At 45.1% G+C, this 21802-nt stretch overlaps 1 long non-coding RNA gene and 1 pseudogene across 1 annotated transcript, besides 1 other annotated feature; one reads left to right on the top strand and one right to left on the bottom strand.

Annotated features, from left to right (window-relative positions):
* Positions 1-200: 200 nt before the first annotated feature.
* Positions 201-6197, top strand: LINC02999 (long intergenic non-protein coding RNA 2999). Its single transcript, NR_105044.1, has 3 exons — positions 201-258; positions 5297-5363; positions 5618-6197. It is a non-coding gene; the product is annotated as a long intergenic non-protein coding RNA 2999 (long non-coding RNA).
* Positions 8663-8863: a silencer, noted in NCBI's record as "peak5476 fragment used in MPRA reporter construct". NCBI's record gives its function as "represses an SCP1 promoter by STARR-seq MPRAs in K562 erythroleukemia cells {active_cell/tissue: K562}" and the evidence as "EXISTENCE:reporter gene assay evidence [ECO:0000049][PMID:32103011]".
* RPS10P11 (ribosomal protein S10 pseudogene 11) lies at positions 11958-12420 on the bottom strand (annotated as a pseudogene).

Here is a 21802-nt window from a genome sequence, read left to right as displayed (position 1 = left end):
CCCTTTAGCAGCCTGTCACAATGACCTCTGCACCTGTGGAATGTTTTGAGAATGCAGATTCCTAGTTCCCTCCCCAAACCACCTGAAACAAAATCTTGAAGGGCAGAGGCTGGGGTGTGGATTTTTTTTTTTGAGACGGAGTTTTGCTCTCCTTGCCCAGGCTGGAGTGCAATGGCACAATCTCGGCTCACCGCGACCTCCACCTCCCGGGTTCAAGTGATTCTTCTGCCTCAGCCTCACGAGTAGCTGGGATTACAGGCATGTGCCACCACGCCTGGCTAATTTTGTATTTTTAGCAGAGATAGGGTTTCTCCATGTTGGTCAGGTTGGTCTCAAACTCCCGACCTCAGATAATCCACCCGCCTCGGCCTCTCAAAGTGCTGGGATTACAGGCGTGAGCCACTGTGCCTGGCCTGGGGTGTGGATTTTTACAAAGGTCTCCCAGTGATCTGATCTAGAGCCCCCTGGACTCTAGCCTCTCCCTCTCTGAACCTTCTGAGCTACAGCTATCAACTTAATTTTCCTTTTTTTTTTTCTTTTGACACAGGGTCTCACTCTGTTGCCCAGGCTGGAGTGCAGTGGCGCAATCTCAGTTCACTGCAACTTCCGTTCCCTGCAACCTCCAGCTCCCGCGTTCAAGCGATTCTCCTGCCTCGGCCTCCCAAGTAGCTGGGACTACAGGTGCCTGCCACCACACCCAGCTAATTTTTGTATTTTTATTTATTTATTTTTCTGAGACAGGGTCTCGCTCTGTCACCCAGGCTGGAGTGCAGTGGTGCAATCTTGGCTCACTGTAACCTCTGCCTCCTGAGTTCAAGCAATTCTCCTGCCGCAGCTTCCCAAGTAACTGGGACTACAGGCGCCTAACACTACGCACGACTAATTTTTGTATTTTTAGTAGAGATGGGGTTTGGCCATGTTGGCCAGGCTGGTTTTGAACTCCTGACCTCAGGTGATCCACCTGCCTCGGCCTCCTAAAGTGCTGGGATAACAGGTGTGAGCCACTCCTCCCGGCCAACTTAATTTTCTGAAAGCACAGTTTGTCTCATGTTACTCTCCTGCTCAAAATCCTTGGGTGGCTCCCAATGCCTGCAGAAAAATCCAAAGACCTTGGTGTGGCATTCAAAGCCCTATCCATCTGGTCTACTCACTCGTCTGCTAACTTTTCCCTGTCACGGGCTCCCAGCCTGGCTTTCCCGCCTTAGCTTGTCTGGACTTTCTGTATCAGGGCACAGTGGAGCACACTGAAATGGCAGCAATCCTTCCCTAAGACTGTGAGCCCTTCTATAAGAGGAATGACTGCTAAAGTGTCCTCATAATTTGAGAGCCTTGTGTGCAGCTTTACATGAGGGGGTTTTGTGTGGCCTGCAGATGAAAGGAGATCCACCAGCAGATGCAACACAATAGCACTAATGTGTCAACACAGGAGAGTAGAGAAGTGGGGCTCATGCTGAATTCCAAAGAGATGATATTTCAGCGTTCCCCTTGCTTTTTATTCATGCACAGGAGATGGACCAGACCTTCAAGCACTGGGGCAAGGGCCGTGCTGCCAAGCGCCTCTCCAGCTTTTCCATCCCCATTCCAAAACAAAAGCAGAGAGACATATTTGGGTCTGGTTGCTGTTGTTCAAAAGGTCAAGAGTGTTTTACCGATACCATTAAACAATGTGTGTGCTCGGCGTGGTGGCTCACGCCTGTAATTCTAGCACTTTGGGAGGCCGAGACAAGTGGATCAACTGCGGTCAGGAGATCAAGAGCAGCCCAGCCAACATGGTGAAACCCTGTCTCCACTAAAAATACAAAAATTAGCCTGATGTTATGGTGCATGCCTGTAGTCCCAGCTACTCGGGAGGCTGAGGCAGGAGAATTGCTTGAACCTGGGAGGCAGAGGTTGCCGTGAGCCGAGATCGTGCCACTGCATTCCAGCCTGGCGACAAAACGAGACTCTGTCTCAAAAAAAAAAAAGAAAAACAAACAAACAAAAACAAAACGAAGTGTGTGTTTAGACTTTGATCCACTTCCCATAAAGAAACATCTACCACAAAGCAAAACAAAAAGCAACTGTGTTGACTGAAAGCAAGATTTCAGAACAGGGCCTGGAAAGTGTCCCCCGAAAATGCTTCAGAGTGAAAACTTACACGAAAGAACTTCTGGTTAAACGTGGCAGAGGAGTCTCTTGTGAATTGTGAATCTCTGCTCCCTCCCAAGCCCTACCAAATACAACAATACAGGAGTAAAAAAGAGTTAAAAAAAAAAAAACAAAAACCCGACAAGGTCTCTGAGAATAGAAGAGGAGGCAGCAGCAGACGGAGGATGTCACCACATTTTCGTAAGGTGGGAAGCAGAGGAAGGAGTGGTGAGTCACACAGAGGCATGGAGGGAGCTGAGGCCTGATCCCACAGAGGGGAGGAGAGAGGCAGGTGGAACTGCTGGGAGACAGAGGACCGCGCTGTGAATGGCAGGAGTGTGGTGCCTGCCTGAGAGCCAGGTGAGAGGCCCAGGTGGGCAGTGGGCTGTCTGCTCCTGCCCACTCCTGAAGGAGACCTGAGGTTTACTCCCTGGGGAATTTGGATCAGCACATCAGGTACTGTGAAGAGCAGGTATGGGGTGCAGAACTGGAAATATGGGGAACAAAAGGAAATCTAGATACTAAAAGGTAAACTCTCAGCCCCTTTTCCTCACCCTGTTTCTAGATAACCTAGGAGCCAGGCACATTTCTCACCCCTTCACCCCACCCCAACCCACCCCCTACTCCACGACCACCACCTGAAAATGAAAGAACCTTTTTCTGTAGAAATTGAGCAGGCTCAAAGGGAAGACCTTTAGATACAGGCATTTGGGGCCCTCAATGAAAGAGCAGCTCAGGGACAACCACGCCGCGCAGGGAAGTCCCCCATTAGTCAAGCTCTACCCAAGCAGGTTGGCCATCCATCTAGTCATCTCTTCAGCACATAATCCTTTAATATGATCAGAGAGAAGAAGAAAACTTTTAAAAATGCTATAAAATCCTCAGGGAGATAAAATAAGATTTATATTTCAAGGTTCATTTTCATGAACTGGCAGAAAACCAGGGATAAAGAAAAGACTCTAAAAGGATCCAGAAAGAAAACAGGTGACTCCAAAGGATCAGGAATGAGAATGGGAGTAGGCTTCTCAGGAGCAGTGCTGGAAGCTGGAGCAGAATGGAGCAAGGCCTTCAGAATTCTGAGTGAGAATGATTTACAGCCTAGAGATCTAAACCCAAACCATTAGTCAAGAGGAATGGTACAGTAAAAAGATATTTTCAGGGCAGGTGCAATGGCTCACACCTGTAATCCCAGCAGTTTGGGAGCACGAGGCAGGCCAATCATGAGGTCAAGAGATTGAGACCATCTTGGCCAACATGGTGAAACCCGTCTCTATTAAAAATTATGGCCAACATAACCCGTCTCTATTAAAAATACAAAAATTAGGCATGGTGGCGTGCGCCTGTAGTCCCAGCTACTCTGGAGGCTAAGGCAGGAGAATCACTTGAACCTGGGAGGCAGAGGTTGCAGTGAGTGAAGATAGCGCCACTGCACTCCAGCCTGGGCAACAGAGCAAGACTCATCTCAAAAAAAAAAAAAGAAAAAAGAAAGAAAAAGAAGGTAGGTAATGTCCAAAGCTGACAAATCAACAAAATAGCAGTATAGGCATTTTTAGGAATATGGGAGGCAGTTAAAACTGGGAAAAACAACGGAAAAGGATGAACTGACTACCTCTGGGGATCAGAGCAGGGATGGGATTGAGTGGGATTGGGTAGAACAGTGCACTGCTATTTTTCATCATACACCTTTTAGTACTTTTGACTTTTTTTTAAGTTGGGTTCTCACTCTGTCACCCACGCTGAAGTGCAGAGGTAGGATCATAGCTCACTGCAACCTTGAACATTTGGGCTCATACAATCCTCCCACCTCAGCCTCTGAAGTAGCTAGGCCTACAGGTGCACGCTGCCATGTCCAGCTAAATTTTTTTTTTGGAGAGACAAGATCTCACTATGTTGCCCAGGCTGGTCTAGAACTCCTGGCCTCAAGTGATCCTCCCTCCTTGGCCTCCCAAAGTGCTGGTATAACCCAGATGAGCCACTGTGCCCAGTCCCTTTTGACTTTTTAATTTTTGTGTGTATTTACATTATTTTCACAAAAATAAAAGGTAATTTTTAAAAGAAAAAAATTTAAATTGAGAAAAACAAAATAGCAAAAAGTGTTAGTCGTTGATTACTTATGTCTCTGATTTATTTCCGTTATGCTGACTTTTCTCTTTCTCATCTTCTTTCTTTTTTTTTTTTCCTGAGACAGAGTCTCGCTCTGTTGCCCAGGCTGGGGTGCAGTGGCGTGATCTCAGCTGACTGCAACCTCCTCCTCCTGGGTTCAAGCAATTCTCCTGCTTCAGCCTCCTGAGTGGCTGGATTACAGGCATGTGCCACCACACCTGGCTAATTTTTTTTGTATTTTTAGTAGACAGGAGGTTTCACCACGTTGGCCAGACTGGTCCCGAACTCCTGACCTCAAGTGATCTGCCCGCCTCAGCCTTCCAAAGTACTGGGATTACAAGTGTGTGCCACCATGCCTGGCCCCAAGGCTTAACTCTTGATTGGAAAATATGATAGAGTTGCCAGATAAAATATATTTAGGATATTTTCACATTAAAATGTTATTTATTATTTTTCTGAAATTCAAATTTTACTCGTCCTCTTGTATTTTTATATTCTATTTGTTTGCTAAATCTGGAAACCTAAAAAGTGGACTCTTTTTTCTTTAACCACACAAACTAGGACTGTGACCAAAGAGAGATACTGAAACCAGAACGTTCTTCTGCAATTGATATTCACAACTAACTGACTAAACATTCTGGTCGAGGATGAGCAGTGATTTGGTATCTAGTACAGATGTGTATGGTGTGATGCCAACCAGCCCCTGGCCAGTCTCTGTGAGCCTAGAAGCATACATACTTAAGGGAGTGCAGGTCTTGCCCTGCGACCTGCAGCAGCACACTCCGCCTCCCCCACCTCTTTCCCCTCCCTCTGGTCCTCCTTTCTCCATCTGTCCCTTAGGGCTTAGGAGCTGAGCCCAAGGCTTCTGTAGGTTATCACCATCCCTGGGCTGCCTTCTTCCTCCTGAGAGGGGGCAGGGCAGGATGAGAAATGACCTCCATTTAGCTAAATTCAGGAGTGAGATGACATCCATGTCACTATCTTTTGCTTTTTATGGAAAAAATATCTCTTTAGGCAAATTTCTTACATAGTTGCTTAATCTTGTCTAAAATGTGCTTTATTTAAGAGTTTCACTCTCAGAGGAGGATTTTGTTCTTCAATTGTGGAGTGATCTCTATCACCAGTGACTAAAGGTAGGAATGGAATAATTTTCTCCCTTTTATGCTCAGGAAGCTATCCTTTGGTGTTAATAGAATTAAGACTAAGGAAACAGATGAGTCCTCCTGAAAGCTAAAATCATCTCTGGAATATATACATATGTAATTTGGAAATACATAAATTTATACAGTAAAAGAGAAACAGCTAAAATCTGGATATGTACAAATACAGAAGAATACAAATATAAAGCATTTTTATTGTTTTGACATTAATTATTCCTTTTTTTCAGCAGATGTTGGAGCACAGAGAGCCATACCCCAAAATATGATGCTTCGGCATGCTGACTGCTTTGAAAATTGAAAGGCCTCAGAAATAATCCTCAGTGCCAGGGTCTCCCTCTGACCTCCCCCTACCTCCCTTTCTCTCTGATCCTGTCTCTCCCAAAGCACAGAATGAAGCTGTTCTCTGAATTCCCTTATCTACCTAGAAACTGGACCCCCAAAGAGGAACACAATTTGCCTTTGATCCCTTCCCTGAAATTTCATTAACCAGAGAAAATTAAAACTTCTATCACAAAGGAAGAGACTGAACATTAAACACCATAGCTACAGCCCAGACAAACTTCTTCCCAAACCATTGTTTGTTCTCCTGCCTGTTAAATTGCCAGAGAATCATTCACAAGATAAAGTCTGCCTTCTGGGTCCATTCATTCCCCACTAAAAATCTTTTACTCCTACACCCTCATGTCTCCTTCCTCCATGAAGAAGGGTCTATAAACCTCTAGGCCTCATTGGGTTATTGGGTAATCATTCTCATGCAGTTCCCCTGTGCTCTGCATGTTAAATAAATTTGTATGCCTTTTTCTCCTACCTGCCTTTTGTCATTTTCAGTGAACCTTCAGAAGGTAAAGGCAGAAGCTTTCCTTCTTTGCCCCTATAGTGTCAACAACAGCCAGCCAGGCAAAGGGTTTCAGAAACCCAAGTGGGATTAAGATGATTAGCCACATGGCTCTATTCTACAAACTAGTGGTCAGAATAACAAGCGTTTGCTTATTAGGAGGTCGAGGTGGGAGAATTGCTTGAGTTCAGGAGTTTTGAGACGAGCCTGGGCAACACAGTGAGACCCTGTCTCTATTTAATAAAAATAAAATAAAATAAAAATGTTTAAGTTTGCTTAAACATTTTCAAAGCTTTCTAAAAACAAATGGCTGTGTCCATATATATATATTTAATTATAAAATAATCATGTAAAATATTTAATCATGTTCAATCATGCATGTATTGTAGACCTGTGAGATGGCCATTCTTTTGAATTCTCCCAATGACTTAGGAGCTCAGTTCAATCCCAGAAAGTTTTTATATCTTTCAGACAGCTCTAATTGTTTAAAGGTCTTCCATTTAAAGATGAAATCTAGCTTTATATAGCTCTCACTCTTTGGCCCTATGCTTACCTTGAAAATTAAGGAAGAACAAGCCATCTTCTACAAAACAGCCTTCAAAGGTCTGAAGACATTACAGGGCTTCTGGAACTGCATCCTCTGCTCCTCCAGTAACCTGGTCTGCAGTTCTCCTCCATCTTCCTGTGAGCACTTTAGTTCACCGATGCTAGGCTTAAAATAAGACACTCACACTGAAATTCTCCTGGTATGGCCTGAGGCTAGCAAAATAGTGAAGGACTGACTTTCTGTGATCTGAAAGCTGAACATCGATCCAGTAAAGTAAAAGCAGCTAGTAGAATACTGTTTTAAGAATACCAGTTTTAAGGTTTCTGGCAGAGGAAAGACTTGTCTGATTCAACAGAAAAAAATAAGCTTATATTTACAAAAGGTTAAAACATTCACGCATTTTGATATAGAAATGCCATTTTATATGAACACAAGTAATGGATTAACAGACAAGCTTTGCAAGACAGAAGCTAACCAACCTGACTTTAATCGTCACTACCTTTGCAGTCAGGAGCTGGGTAACTTCCTGCAGTAAGAAGCCTTAGGGGAATGCAATTTCCATTGCTTTGTGATGTTAATTTAAGGCAATTATCGTAAGTAGACTCCCAAAAAGTTTTGCATATTATTTGTCCTTGTGAAAGCCCAGTGCTGTTGGAGAGTCGGGGTGCTGGAGAAGCCCTAGGAAAGGAATAGTCAGAATTTATGTTTTGTTTTGTTTTGTTTTTGTTGGGACAGAGTCTCACTCTGTTGCCCAGGCTGGTATGCAGTGGCACGATCTCTGCTCACTGCAGCTCTCCGCCCCCGGGGTTAAACTGATTCTCCCACCTTAGCCTCCTAAGTAGCTGGGATTATAGGCAACGCACCACCATGTCCGGCTAATTTTTGTATTTTTAGTAGAGAGGGGGTTTCACCATGTTGGCCAGGTTGGTCTCGAACCCCTGACCTCAAGTAAACTACCTGCCTTGGTCTTCCAAAGTGCTGGGATTACAGGCGTGAGCCACCGTGCCCAACCTAGAATTTACGTTTTTTTGTTTGTTTGTTTGTTTGTTTTGTTTTTTTTTTTAGAGACAAGTCTTGCCACATTGCCTAGGCTGGCCTTGGACTTCTGGGCTCAAGGGATCCTCCCAAGTAGCTGGGATTTAGATACTTCTGTAAGAGCTGAAGATCCCAAAGTTTGAAAACTTTTAGCGTTTTCCAACTTTCCTCTGAAAGGCTGGAAACCCTGCTCCAAGAGCACTCTCTACTTAGGTTTTTTTTTTTGAGACAGAGTCTTGCTCTGTCACCCAGGCTGAAGTGCAATGGCGCAATCTCGGCTCACTGCAACCTCCGCCTGCCGGGTTCAAGCGATTCTCCTGCCTCAGCCTCCCAAGTAGCTGGGATTACAGGCGCCTGCCACCATGCCTGGCTAATTTTGTATTTTTAGTAGAGATGGGGTTTCAACATGTTGGCCAGGCTAGTCTCGAACTCCTGACCTCAGGCGATCCACCCACCTTGGCCTCCCAAAGTGCTAGGAATACAGGCGTGAGCCACCGCCTCTGGCCTCCATTTAGTATTTTCTCGGCACCTGCATTTTCAGTTTTTCCTCGGCAGGAAGGGCAAGAATAAAACTGCTTCTCCAGTTCATTTGGCTGTATTAGAACAGTTTTGCTGTGTATGGAGGGAAAAAAATGGGCATTTTGTTCTCCTTGACACTTCCGGGACCACTATGCATTTAAGTTATGTGCTGAGCTTGACTGTGGTGGGAAGAAAGGTGACCCTGGGGTCCATGGCTCAGTGGTCCTGTAACCCACTAGGAGGTCTCCTTGAGCCATTTCTGGGGGTGGGAGAGGATTCACCTGTTGGATTGTCCCCCCATCCCCCGCGTTGCATGGATCAAAATCGGAACAGAACAGCTGAAAGTGCTGGAGGATAAATAAGGACCAGCTGGAAGGCTGGGCGCGGTGGCTCACGCCTGTAATCTCAGCACTTTGGGAGGCCCAGGCGGGTGGATTGCCTGAGATAAGGAGTTCAAGACAAGCCTGGCCAACATGGTGAAACCCCATCTCTATTAAAAACACAAAAAGATTAGCTGGCCATGGTGGCATGTGCCTGTAATCCCAGCTACTCAGGAGGCTGAGGCAGGGGAATTGCTTGAACCAGGGAGGTGGAGGTTGCAGTGAGCCGAGATCATGCCACTGCACTCTAACCTGGGCAACAGAGTGAAAATCCATCTCAAAAAAATAAAATAAAATAAAAAAAGGACCAGCTGTTTTCCAGCCCCACGTTTCAGTGCCAGGGCCTCTGGGCCAGGCACTTCTATTGAACATCAGCCACAGAGCTGGGGGGCTGCACAAAGAGGAAAGAGACTGCTCAAAAGAGTCTGGAAATTCAAGAATGTGAGAGTAATGATTGCTGTAGCTGTTCACCAGCTTTAAAGAGTAAGCCTGCAACTCGTAGGTATGGAAACTTAGGTATAAACCTGGATTTGGCAAAACGTAGTAAAAACTTTAAAAGTGTGCATGAGGGCTGGGCACGGTGGCTCACACCTGTAATCCCCAAACTTTGGGAGGCTAAGGCAGAAGAATTGCTTGAGCATAGGAATTCAAGACCAGCCTGAGCAACATGACAAAACCCTGTCTCTATGAAAAATTTAAATAAAATTAGCCGGGCGTGGTGGCGCACCTGTAGTCCCAGCTACCCAGGAGGCTGAGGTAGGAGGATTGCTTGAGTCCAGGAGGTCAAAGCTGCTGTGAGCTTCCACCAAAGGCTGTGTGTCCCCAGTTAAAAAAAAAAAAAAAAAAAAAAAGCCAGGTGTGGTGGCTCACACCTGTAGTCCCAGCACTTTGGGAGGCTGAGGTGGGTGGATCACGAGGTCAGGGGTTCGAGACCAGCCTGGCCAACATAGCAAAACCCTGACTGTACTAAAAAAAAATACAAAAATATTATCCGGGCGTGGTGGCAGGCACCTGTAGTCCCAGCTACTTTGGAGGCTGAGGCAGGAGAATTGCTTGAACCCGGGAGGCAGAGGCTGCCATGAGCTGAGATCATGCCACTGCACTCCAGCCTGGGCAACAGAGCAGAAAAAAAAAAAAAAAGGAAAAACCCTAGATGTCGGTAGAAGTTCAGTTTTCAGAGGTGAAGGGGGAAAAACTTCCCCCTTCACCCTCTGAAGATTCACTGAAAATGAACTGACAAAACGCGCAGATTAATAGGAGAAAAAGGCATACATATTTATTGATGGGAGGGGGAAATTGGGGATCACGAAGTGATTACCCAAATAATCCTATGGTGCCCAGATGCCCCCAGATGCTTATATAACTTTATTCACAGAGGAGGGGAAATGTAGGTCATTCTTTTGAGGGGCAATAAATGATTATTAGGGAGAATGAATGGACCTTGGAGAACAGAAATTAAGCTGTAAATGATCCTCTTTGCAGTTGAGTGAGCCTTAGAAACAGACATGATCTTGTGAAAAGGTCAGTCCAGGTAGGGTTATATTCCTCAATCTTCTTTTTTGCAGTAGATAATGAGATACATGGGAGGTGATGGAAAACAGTTGTTTTCTTTGGTGGATCCAGTTTTTTGTTTGTTTGTTTTTTGTTTTTTTTTTTGAGACAGACTCTCCACTCTGCAAACTCCGCCTCCCGGGTTTGAGTGATTCTCGTGCCTCAGCCTTCCAAGTAGCTGAGAGTCCAGGTGCCCACCATCATGCCTGGCTAATTTTTGTATTTTTTGTTTGTTTGTTTGTTTTTGAGGCGGAGTCTCGCTCTGTCGCCCAGGCTGGAGTGCAGTGGCTCACTTGGCTCACTGCAAGCTCCGCCTCCCGGGTTCACACCATTCTCCTGCCTCAGCCTCCCGAGTAGCTGGGACTACAGGCACCTGCCACCCCGTCCAGCTAATTTTTTTTTTTTGTATTTTTAGTAGAGACAGGGTTTCACTGTGTTAGCCAGGATGGTTTCAATCTCCTGACCTCATGATCCACCCGCCTCAGCCTCCCAAAGTGCTGGCATTACAGGCATGAGCCACTGCGCCCTGCCTAATTTTTGTATTTTTAATAGAGACGGGATTTCACCATGTTGGCCAGGCTGGTCTCAAACTCCTGACCTCAGGTGATCCGCCTGCCTTGGCCTCCCAAAGTGCTGGGATTACAGGTGTGAGCCACTGCACCCAGCCCACAAATTTATATAAGTTTTACATGACACAGTAGTCTTCAGAAATGAGGACTCAAAAAGCAGGTAAAATTGTGTATTTTTATGCTTAAGGTTTTTTGTTTTGTTTTGTTTTGTTTTGTATTTTTGAGATGGAGCCTCTCTTAGTTGCCCAGGCTGGAGTACAGTGGTGCCATCTAAGTTCACTGCAACCTCCACCTCCCTGGTTCAAGTGATTTTCCTCCTTCAGCCTCCTAAGTAGCTGGGACTACAGGTGTGCACCACCTCCCCCAGCTAATTTTTGTGTGTGTATTTTTAGTAGAGATGGGGTTTGGCCATTTTGGCCAGGCTGGTCTTGAACTCCTGGCCTCAGATAATCTGCCTGCCTTGTATGCTTAGGTTTGTCGGAACATGGACAGTTGTGGAGTAATGTGATTGGAGGACAAAGGGTTATGCTCAGCAGGGCACAGTGGCTCGTGCGTGTAATCCCAGCAATTTTGGAGGCTGAGGTAGGAGGATCACTTGAGCCCAGGAGTTCCAGACCAGCCTGGGCAATATAGCAAGATGCCATCTCTACAAAAAATAAAAAATTAGCTAGGTGTGGTGGCACGGCCTGTAGTCCCACCTACTGGGAGACTTAGGTGGGAGGATTGCTTGAGCCTGGGAGATGGAGGCTGCAGTGAGCTGTGATTGCCACTACACTTCAGCCTGGGTGACAGAGCAAGACCCTATTTAAACAAAAAAAAGGTATGATCTAATGATAATAAACTCAGTGAAACCTAGTAAGGCCTGTTTGTTTAGATTCTTTTTCTCCGTGTCTTCAGGAATAAGGATATTCCTGTCTTCTGGCTACAGGAAGGGTACCTCTTGAATGAGGGCCTTATGACCTGCTTCAGGGGAAAAGGTCAGAGAGTAACTTTCTAGGTTTTTTTTTTTGTTTTGTTTTGTTTTTAGTTTTCTTAAATTTTTTTTTGGCTGTAAGTTTATTCAATGCAAAATAATCCTCTCCAATTTTACTGAGGTGGCTGAACACATCCACCATCAAATCCGCCTCTAAACTGGAATTCGGTTGCTGACCCAGCCCCAACCTCGGCTTTCTTGTTGGCACCAGGGGGCAAAACACTTTGTCTGTGGGTATCTCTGTCGGCTTCCCCTCTTGTGAGTCTTGCAGGTCACTTACCCTCCAGACCTTTAGGCTGAGGCTTGCCAGTCTCTGGATGGCTGTGGCATAGGGTGGCAGGCACAATTTCCAGGAGCAGATGAAGGTAATCATGGAGATACTGGATACCCTCATTGATAAGGTACTAGTAGAAATGTCTCCAAGCAAACTGTTCCTTCACATAGCCCCGGGACTTGGAAGACTGCATGGCCTTCATGACATGAAGGTTGGGCACATTCTTGTCTGCCAGCTCCGGGTGCTTAGGCATGTAGACCTCCTTCTTGGCCACCATGACTCCCTCCTTAAAAAGGAGTTCATAAATGGCAATCCAGTTCTTCTTAGGCATCAACATCTCTGCGGCTCTAGGCTGGAAAGGCCTTCCTAGGTTGTATGACCTGTTTTGGGGGGAAGGGAGAGGAGAAGGGATGGTGAGAGTGACCTTCCTCTTGCTGCTTTCTCAAATGCCAAGGTGCCATGTTTTAGGGTAGCATGTTCTGACTCCATCAATATCAAAATATAATAATAATAATTATAAGAATAAAGAAAAAATAGACCAATCTAATTCATAAATATTTAAAAATCATAAATAAAATTATAGCAAACAAAATCCAAAAACATACTGAAAGAATAATATACTATGTCCAAATGGAGTTTAATCTAGGAATAGAAATAAGGTTTGATATAAGAAAATCTACTAATGTAAGTCATTATATTAATAATTCTACATAGGAAACATGGTTATCTATAAATACTGAGAATGCAAAATTAAATATTTGTTCTATTTCTTTCTTTTTCTTTTCTTTTCTTTCTTTCTTTCTTTTTTTTTTTTTTTTTGAGATAGGGTCTTGCTCTGTCACCCAGGCTGGAGTGCAGTAATGTAATTATAGGTCACTGCAGCATGAGTTCCTGGGTTCAAGTGATGCTCCTGCCTCAGCCACCCAAGTAGCTAAGGCTACAGGTGTACATCACCACTCATGGCTAGAATATCCATAATTAGCTTAGGGTTTCTAGGTCCTTAATAAAAATAATTAGTAAGGAATATTCTGTAAGGTAATCTTAGAAGGAGGAAGAAGAGGGAAAAGAGGAGGAAGAATAAGGAGGAGAAAAGAGAAGGAGGGAGAAACAGGAGGAGGAAGAAGAAAAGGAGGAAGAGAAAGGAGAAGAAGGAAGGAAGAAGGAGAAGGAGGAAGAGGAAGGAGAAGAAGAGGAGGAAGAGGAAGGAGAAGAAAGAAGAAGAAGAGGAGCAGGAGGAGGAGGAGAAAAGAAGAAGAAAAGAAAAGAAGAGGCCAGGCGCAGTGGCTCATACCTGTAATCCCAGCACTTTGGGAGGCCAAGGCGGGTGGATCACGAGGTCAGGAGAACGAGACCATTCTGGCTAACACGGTGAAACCCCGTCTCTACTGAAAATACAAAAAATTAGCCGGGAGTGGTGGTGGGTGCCCTACTCGGGAGGCTGAGGCAGGAGAATGGCGTGAACCTGGGAGGCGGAGCTTGCAGTGAGCCGAGATCACACCACTGCACTCCAGCCTGGGTGACAGAGCGGTACTCTGTCTCAAAAAAAAGAAAAAGAAAGAAAAGAAAAGAAGAAGAAAGGTGGTCTCGGTGGCTCATGCCTGTAATTCTAGCACTTTGGGAGGCTGAGCACTTTGGGAGGATTGCTTAAGCACAGGAGTTGCCATGCTGTAGCATGGGCAACATAGTGAGACCTTGCCTCTATGATATGGTTTCTCTGTGTCCCCACCCAAATCTCAACTTGAATTGTATCTCCCAGAATTCCCATGTGTTGTGGGAGGGACCCAGGAGAAGGTAATTGAATCATGGGGGCCGGTCTTTCCCATGCTATTCTTGTGATAGTGAATAAGTCTCACGAGATCTGATGGGCTTATCAGGGGTTCCTGCTTTTGCTTCTTCCTTATTTTTCTCTTGACACCGCCATGTAAGAAGTGCCTTTTGCCGCCATGATTCTGAGGCCTCCCCAGCCATGTGGAACTGTAAGTCCAATTAAACCTCTTTTTCTTCCCAGTCTCAGGTATGTCTTTATCAGCAGTGTGAAAATGGACTAATACACTCTACCAAAAAAAATTTGTTTTTTTGAGACAGAGTCTCACTCTGTCACCAGGCTGGAGTGTGGTGGCACAATCTTGACTTACTGCAAACTTCACCTCCTGGGTTCAAGCGATTCTCCTGCTCAGCCTCCCAAGTAGCTGGGACTACAGGCACACACCACCATGCCTAGCTAATTTTTGTATTTTTAATAGGGACGTGGTTTCACCTTGGCCAGGATGGTCTCAATCTCTTGACCTTGTGATTTGCCCACCTCGGCCTCCCAAAGTGCTGGGATTACAGGTGTGAGCCACCACGCCCAGCCAAAATTTTTAAAAATCAGCTGGACGTGGTGGTGTGTACCAGCTGCTTGGGAGGCTGAGGTGGGAGGATCACTTAAGTCTAGCAGGTTGAGGTTGCAGTGAGCCTCGAATGTGCCATTGCACTCCAGCCTGGGCAACAGAGTGAGACTGTGTCTCAAAAGAAAAAAAAAATGGAAAAGAAAAGGTGGAGCCTAATTTCCCTACTTGTGAATGTGTACTGGACTTAGTGACTCACTTTCAATGAATACAGTAAGTAAAAAATGATGGCATGTGACCTATGACCCCAAGTCACAAAAGATAGCATGGCTTCTTCCTTGCTTTTTCTTAGTTCACTTACTCTGAAGGAAGACCTCCTGCCATGTGAGGACACTCAAGCAGTCTTGTGGAGAGATCCATGTAGTAATGAACTGAGATCTGCTGCAAACAGCCATGTGAATGAGCCATCTCAGAGGTAGATCCTCCAGCGCCAAACTTTCACATAACTGAAACACCAGAAAACAAATTAAGACAGTCTTGAATTCCTGATTCACAGAAACTATGAGATAATATTTATATTTTAAGTCACTACATTTTGGAGCAATTTGTTATGCAGTCATATGACTAATACAGAAGGCAAAATAAAGACATTTTCAGGTAGACAACAGGTGAATGAACTTGGCCCCAGCAGACTTGTACTACAGAATTTTTTTTTTTTTTTTTTCTTGAGACAGGATCTTGCTTAGCCTCCTGAGTAGCTGGGATCACAGACACATGCCATGACACCTGGCTACTTTTTGTTTGTTTGTTTATTTTTGAGATGGAGTCTTGCTCTGTGGCCCAAGCTGGAGTGCAGTGGCGATCTCAGCTCACTGAAGCCTCCACCCACTGGGTTCAAGTGATTCTCCTGCCTCAGCCTCCCAAGTAGCTGGGATTACAGGCACGGGCCACCACGCCCAGCTAATTTTTGTATTATTATTATTATTATTTGAGACGGAGTTTCCCTCTGCTGCCCAGGCTGGAGTGCAGTGGTGCAATCTCGGCTCACTGCAGCCTCTGCCTCCTGGGTTCTACCAATTCGCCTGCCTCAGCCTCCCAAGTAGCTGGGATTACAGGCACGCACCACTACACCTGGCTAATTTTTTGTATTTTTAGTAGAAACAGGGTTTCACCATGTTGGCCAGGCTGGTCTTGAACTCCTGATCTCAGGTGATCCACCCACCTCGCCCTCCCAAAGTGCTGGAATTACAGGCATGAGCCACCATTTTTATATTTTTAGTAGAGATAGGGTTTCACCATTTTGGCCAGGTTGGTCTCAAACTCCTGACCTCAGGTGATCTGCCCACTTTGGCCTCCCAAAGTGCTGGGATTACAGGCATGAGCTACCATGCCCAGCTTAATTAATTTTTTTATTAATTAATTAAGGCTGGTGTTTAACTCCTTGGCTGAAGCAATTCTTGCACCTTGTCCTCCTCAAGTGCTGGGATTACAGGCATTAGCCATCTTGCCCGGCCTGAGGATTTCTAATGTAAAATTTTCAGGTAGAAGGAAAATGAAACCAGATGGAGGGTAAGAGATAGATAAGGAATGGATAACAAATAAAGTGGTAAATATATGTAAGATCTAATGTTTCACTGGATTTAAAAATATACCACAACAATAAGAAGGCCTAAATAAATGGAGAGATATACCATGTTCATGGATCGGGGGATTTGATATAATGATGTTAATTCTCCCCGAGTTGATTTATGGACTAAAGATAATCCCAATTAAAATACCAGCAACATTTATTTCTAGAAATTGATGCTAAAATTTATATCAAAAAGCAAAAGCTAAAATAGCCAAAACAGTTTTGTAAAAGAAGAACACATTTGGAGAACTCATACAACCTGATTTTAAGACTTGCCATAAATCTATAGCAGGGTTGGCAAAGTGGCCCACAGGTTAGCCTGCAGCCTGTTTTTGCAGGGCTTAAAAGCTAAAACTGCTTTTTCCAGTTTTAAATGGTTGAAAAAGGAAACAATAAAAATGTATGTAGCAGGAATTATATGTAGCCCACCCTTTACATTTGCAAACTCATGAGCTATAGTAATCAACACAATATGGGTTGCGTGTGGTGGCTCATGCCTGAAATCCCAGCACTTTGGGAGGCTGAGGTAGGTAAATCACGTGAGGTCAGGAGTTCGAGACCAGCCTGACCAACATGGAGAAACCCCAACTCTACCAAAAAAAAAAAAGAAAAAAAAATTAGCCAGGTGTGCTGGTGCACGTCTATAGTCCCAGCTACTTTGGAGACTGAAGCAGGAGAATTGCTTGAATCTGGGAGGCAGAGGTTGCAGTGAGCCAAGATCGTGCCACTGCACTCCAGCTTGGGTGACAGAGTAAGACTCTGTCTCAAAAACAAAAACGGGCTGTGCGCCGTGGCTCATGCCTGTAATCCCAGCACTTTGGGAGGCCAAGGTGGGCGGATCACCTGAGGTCAGGAGTTCAAGACCAGCCTGGCTAACATGGTGAAACCCCGTTTCTATTAAAAATAGAAAAAATTGGCCGGGCGTGGTAGCAGGCGCCTGTAGTCCCAGCTACTCCAGAGCCTGAGGCAGGAGAATCGCTTGAGCCCAGGAGGCAGAGGTTGCAGTGAGCTGAGATAGCACCATTGCACTCCAGCCTGGGCAAGAAGAGTGAAACTGCGTCTCAAAAACAACAACAACAACAACAAATGCCACAATATGGTATTAGCAAAAGGATGGACACATAGATCAGTGGAACAGAATACAGAGTCCAGAAATAGACTCACACATATATATGGTTAATTGATTTTTGACAAAGTTACCAAGGCAATTGAGTGAAAGAATAGTCTTTTCAACAAACTCTGCTGGAGCAATTAGATACTTACATGAAAAAAAAAAAAAGAGATAGTTTCTATCTCCAGAGCAAAGTGCAGGTTTATTTACTGTCCAGATAAAAGTAATTGCTCTGGAGAAAAGGTTGGGCAAATATGCTTGTAGTTCTTCTTTATTAATTATTGATGTTCTTTCAATTTAGAGTTCCTCAGCTGTGATACAAACCCACTTTGTATATCTCATCTAACTGGGCCCCTTAGCATAGCCCCTGTGGGACTTGGTGGACAAGGGGAACCAGGGCAAACATGAAGCTCATGCTGTTTGTTGTGCTATGAGTAATAAAGATCTTTGTCTTTGTCTCAAGATCTGTGTCTTTTGCCAGTATCCTTTGAAATTGTTGTATGGATACTTGTTAGGTTGAAAGTAGGAGTAAAATCTTACATCCTTTAGTGTCCTTTTTAAATCATAGCTCACTGTAGCCTTGAACTCCTGGGCTCAAGCAATCCTCCTGCCTCAGCCTCCTGAGTAGCTGGCACTACAGGCAAGTGCCATTACTCCCAGCTAATTATTGTAGTTTTTGTAGAGATGGGGTTTCACCATGTTGGCCAGGCTGGTCATGAACTCCTGGGCTCAAGCAATCCTCCTGCCTTGGCCCCTCAAAGTGCTGTGATTACAGGCATGAGCTACGCGCCTGGCACCTTTATTGTTTTGCTTTGAACCTAAAACAGCTCTAAAAAAAAAAAAGTCTATTAAACAGCAACAACAACACCTCAAAGCAAATATGGGAAAGGTTCATGTTGTTGGAGCAGGTAATGTGGTGTCTGTTACATTATTCTCCATAATTTTCCATATGTTTGAAATATATATATTTTTTTCTTTTTTTTCTTTTCTTTTCTTTTCTTTTTTTTTTCCTTGAGATGGAGTCTTGCTCTGTCACCCAGGCTGGAGTGCAGTGGCGTGATCTTGGCTCACTGCAAGCTCTGTGGCTCACTGCAAGCTCTGCCTCCTGGGTTCACACCATTCTCCTGCCTCAGCCTCCAGAGCAGCTGGGACTACGGGCGCCTGCTACCACGCCCGGCTAATTTTTTGTATTTTTAATAGAAACGGGGTTTCACCATGTTAGCCAGGATGGTCTCGATCTCCTGACCTCATGATCTGCCCACCTTGGCCTCCCAAACTGCTGAGATTACAGGCGTCAGCCACCGCGCCTGGCCTGAAATATTTCATAAACAAAAAATTAACTCTAACAAAGGGAAAAAAGAAAGAGGAAAAAAAGGGGGCAAGCGATCTGAATAGACATGTCCCCAAAAAGATATACACACGGCCAATAAGCACAAGAAAGATGCTCAGGATCATTACTTATTAGAAAAATGCAAATCAAAACAACAATGAGGTATCACTTTGTACCCCCTAGGATGGCTATAATTTAAAAATTAAAAAAGGGAAAATACTAAGTGTTGGCAAGAATGTGAGGAAGTTGGAACCCTCATGCATTACCAGTAGCACTGTGGAGAGTAGTTCAGACACTGTGGAAAACAGTTTGTTCAAAAAGTTAAACACAGCTGGGCACGGTGGCTCACACCTATAATCCCAGCACTTTGGGAGGCTGAGGCGGGAAGATCACCCGAGGTCAGGAATTCGAGACCAGTCTGGCTAACACGGTGAAACCCCCGTCTCTACTAAAAATACAAAAATTAGCCAGGCGTGCTGGCAAGTCCCTGTAGTCCCAGCTACTTGGAATGCTGAGGCACGGGAATCGCTTGAACCTGGGAGGCGGAGGTTGCAGTGAGCTGAGATCACGCCACTGCACTACAGCCTGGGCAACAGAGTGAGAATCTGTCTCAAAAAAAAAAGTCTGAATCATGAAAAAAAGTTAGAAACAACAAACTGGTCAATAACTGGACTTGCCACATTGTTCTGTGAAGTGTTAATTATTAACTTTTTTGTTTGTTTGTTTTTGAGACAAGGTCTTTCTCTGTCTCCCAGGCAGAAATGCAGTGTTGCTACTATAGCTCACTGCAGCTTTGAACTCCTGGGCTCAACCGATCATCCTGTTTCAGCCTCCCAAGCAGCTGGAACTATAGGTGTATACCACCATGCCCAGCTAATTTTGTAATTGTTTGTAGAGATGAGGGTCTCACTGTGTGTGGCCATTAACAATTTTTTTTTTTGAGACAGTCTTGCTCTGTTGCCCAGGCTACAGTGCAATCGTGCGATCTCAGCTCACTGGAACCTCTGCCTCTCAGGTTCAAGCGATTCTTCTGCCTCAGCCTCCTGAGTAGCTGGGATTACAGGTACGTGCTACCACACCTGGCTAATTTTGTATTTTTAGTAGAGACAGGGTTTCGCTATGTTGGCCAAGCTGGTCTCGAACTCCTGACCTCAGGTGATCCGCCTGCCTCAGCCTCCCAAAGTGCTGGGATTACAGGCCTGTGAGCCACTGTGCCTGGCCAATATTTTATACTGCTTAGCATTTTGAAAGCATAATGTTAACAACATCACAATTTTTTTTTAAAGAAAGAATACCTGGCCAGGTGTAGTGGCTCATGCCTGTAATCCTAGCACCTTGGGAGGCTGAGGCAAGAGGATCACTTGAGCCCGGGAGTTTGAGACCAGCCTGGATAACATAGCAAGATCCCAACTCTATGAAAAACTTAAAAATTAGCCAGGCATTGTGGCACACACCTGTAGTCCCAGCTACTCATGGAGGCTGAGGTGGGAGGATTTCTTGAACCTGGGAGGTCAAGGCTGCAGTCAGCCATGATGTGGCACTGCACTCCAGCCTGTATGGCAGAGCAAGATTCTGTATTAAAAAAAAAAAAAAGAATACCTATTTGTGCACTTTTGGGTTTACAATTGTATGCATGTCTGAATATGTTCGTCCGTATGTTATGTATATGCATATGCTCCATAATTGTCACAGATATGCTAAATAAGGTAGTTGCTGCATGACCTTTAGCTTTTTCACACCCCATAGGCAGGATTGGCTGTGTAACTGCAGCTGCTATTTGCAGAGCCTGGGTTCCTATTTCTGAGCTAACCTCTGTACTATACAATCAGGTGACCAAGACTTTCTGAGCTAACCTCTGTACTATACAATCAGGTGACCAAGACTTTAGCTCAGAGAACCCTCAACAACTTTGAGTTTTTCTTTTTTTGAGACGGAGTCTCACTCTGTCACCCAGGCTGGAGTGCATTGGTGCGATCTCAGCTCACTGCAACCTCTGCCTCCTGGGTTCACGCCATTCTCCTGCCTCAGCCTCCCAAGCAGCTGGGATTACAGGTGCCCACCACCACGCCTGGTTATTTTTTGTATTTTTAGTAGAGACGGGGTTTCACCGTGTTAGCCAGGATGGTCTCGATCTCCTGACCTCGTGATCTGCCCGCCTCGGCCTCCCAAAGTGCTGGGATTGCAGGCATGAGCCACCACTCCCAGTCTAACTTTGAGTTTTTCTAAGTTTGGTCAGCGGCAGGTGGAAGCAGAATTACCTGGGGCCTTGAATCTGAACATCCAATGGTGAGCCTGGGGGAGTCTGTCATTTTAACGAGCCTCTCAGGACGTGGGATCTGCACTCACTTTTGGGACTTTTAGGTCTGTGCACCAATTCCTGATTGCTGGGAGTAGCTAACTCTGTCTTTGGTCTCACAGGCCTGTTGACACTTTGCTTGCCCACATTTGCATGAATATCATGCCTCCCTGTTGTTAACCATTATGCCATATCACTGAGCTTGGTGCTGGGTCTTCAGGTTCATTCTATGCGGACTGCCCTGTATTTCCATGCTTTGTTGAGTCTCTGATTTCTGGGGACCCTGATGCCCCAAAAGAAGCTGCAGAAGCAGCAGACAGGATGTAATCAGCTCTCCCCACAGGCCACACTCACAATACAGGACCTGCACTGGAGCCCTAGATCGTGGATTCTAGGCTCACCTCTGTACCCCAACCTCACATTTGACTGGGGGCAATGGGGAAGCCTATTAGGTCAATAATCTCTCAAAGCTGGTGAAGGCTCAAGTGACTCTTTGTGTGAAGGGAAAACTTTCCTTTGCTCTCTGAAGGTTAGTGAAAATCAATTGACAAAAGGCAGATTAAGAGGAGAAAAGGCAGCCAGGCACTGTGGCTCACGCCTATAATCCCATCATTTTGGGAGGCCGAGGAGCTTGGACCACCTGAGATCAGGGGTTCGAGACCAGCCTGGTCAACATGGTGAAACCCCGTTTCTACTAAAGATACAAAATTAGCCGGGCGTGATGTCAGGTGCCTGTAATCCCAGCTACTCAGGAGGCTGAGGCAGGAGAATCACTTGAACCTGGGAGGCAGAAGTTGCGGTGAGCAGAGATCACACCATTGCACTCCAGCCTGGGCAAAAAGAGTGAAATTTGCTCTCAAAAAAAAAAAAAAAAGAGAAAAGACATACAAGTTTATTAATGTGCATAGTTAATCACAGAGTGATTACCCCATCATCCAGAGTGTGAATATTTTAGATGGGTAGTAAATGATTTTTAGGGTAATTCAATGGGCTTGAAGAACATGCAATGGCCTGGGACAAAGTCTGTTGGGCCTG

The sequence above is a fragment of the Homo sapiens genome, chromosome 5 (genome assembly GCF_000001405.40).
Source record: "Homo sapiens chromosome 5, GRCh38.p14 Primary Assembly".
Classification (NCBI taxonomy): Eukaryota; Metazoa; Chordata; class Mammalia; order Primates; family Hominidae; genus Homo; species Homo sapiens.
Note: the sequence above shows the minus strand (reverse complement) of the source record. Positions and strands in the feature narration are given on the sequence as shown.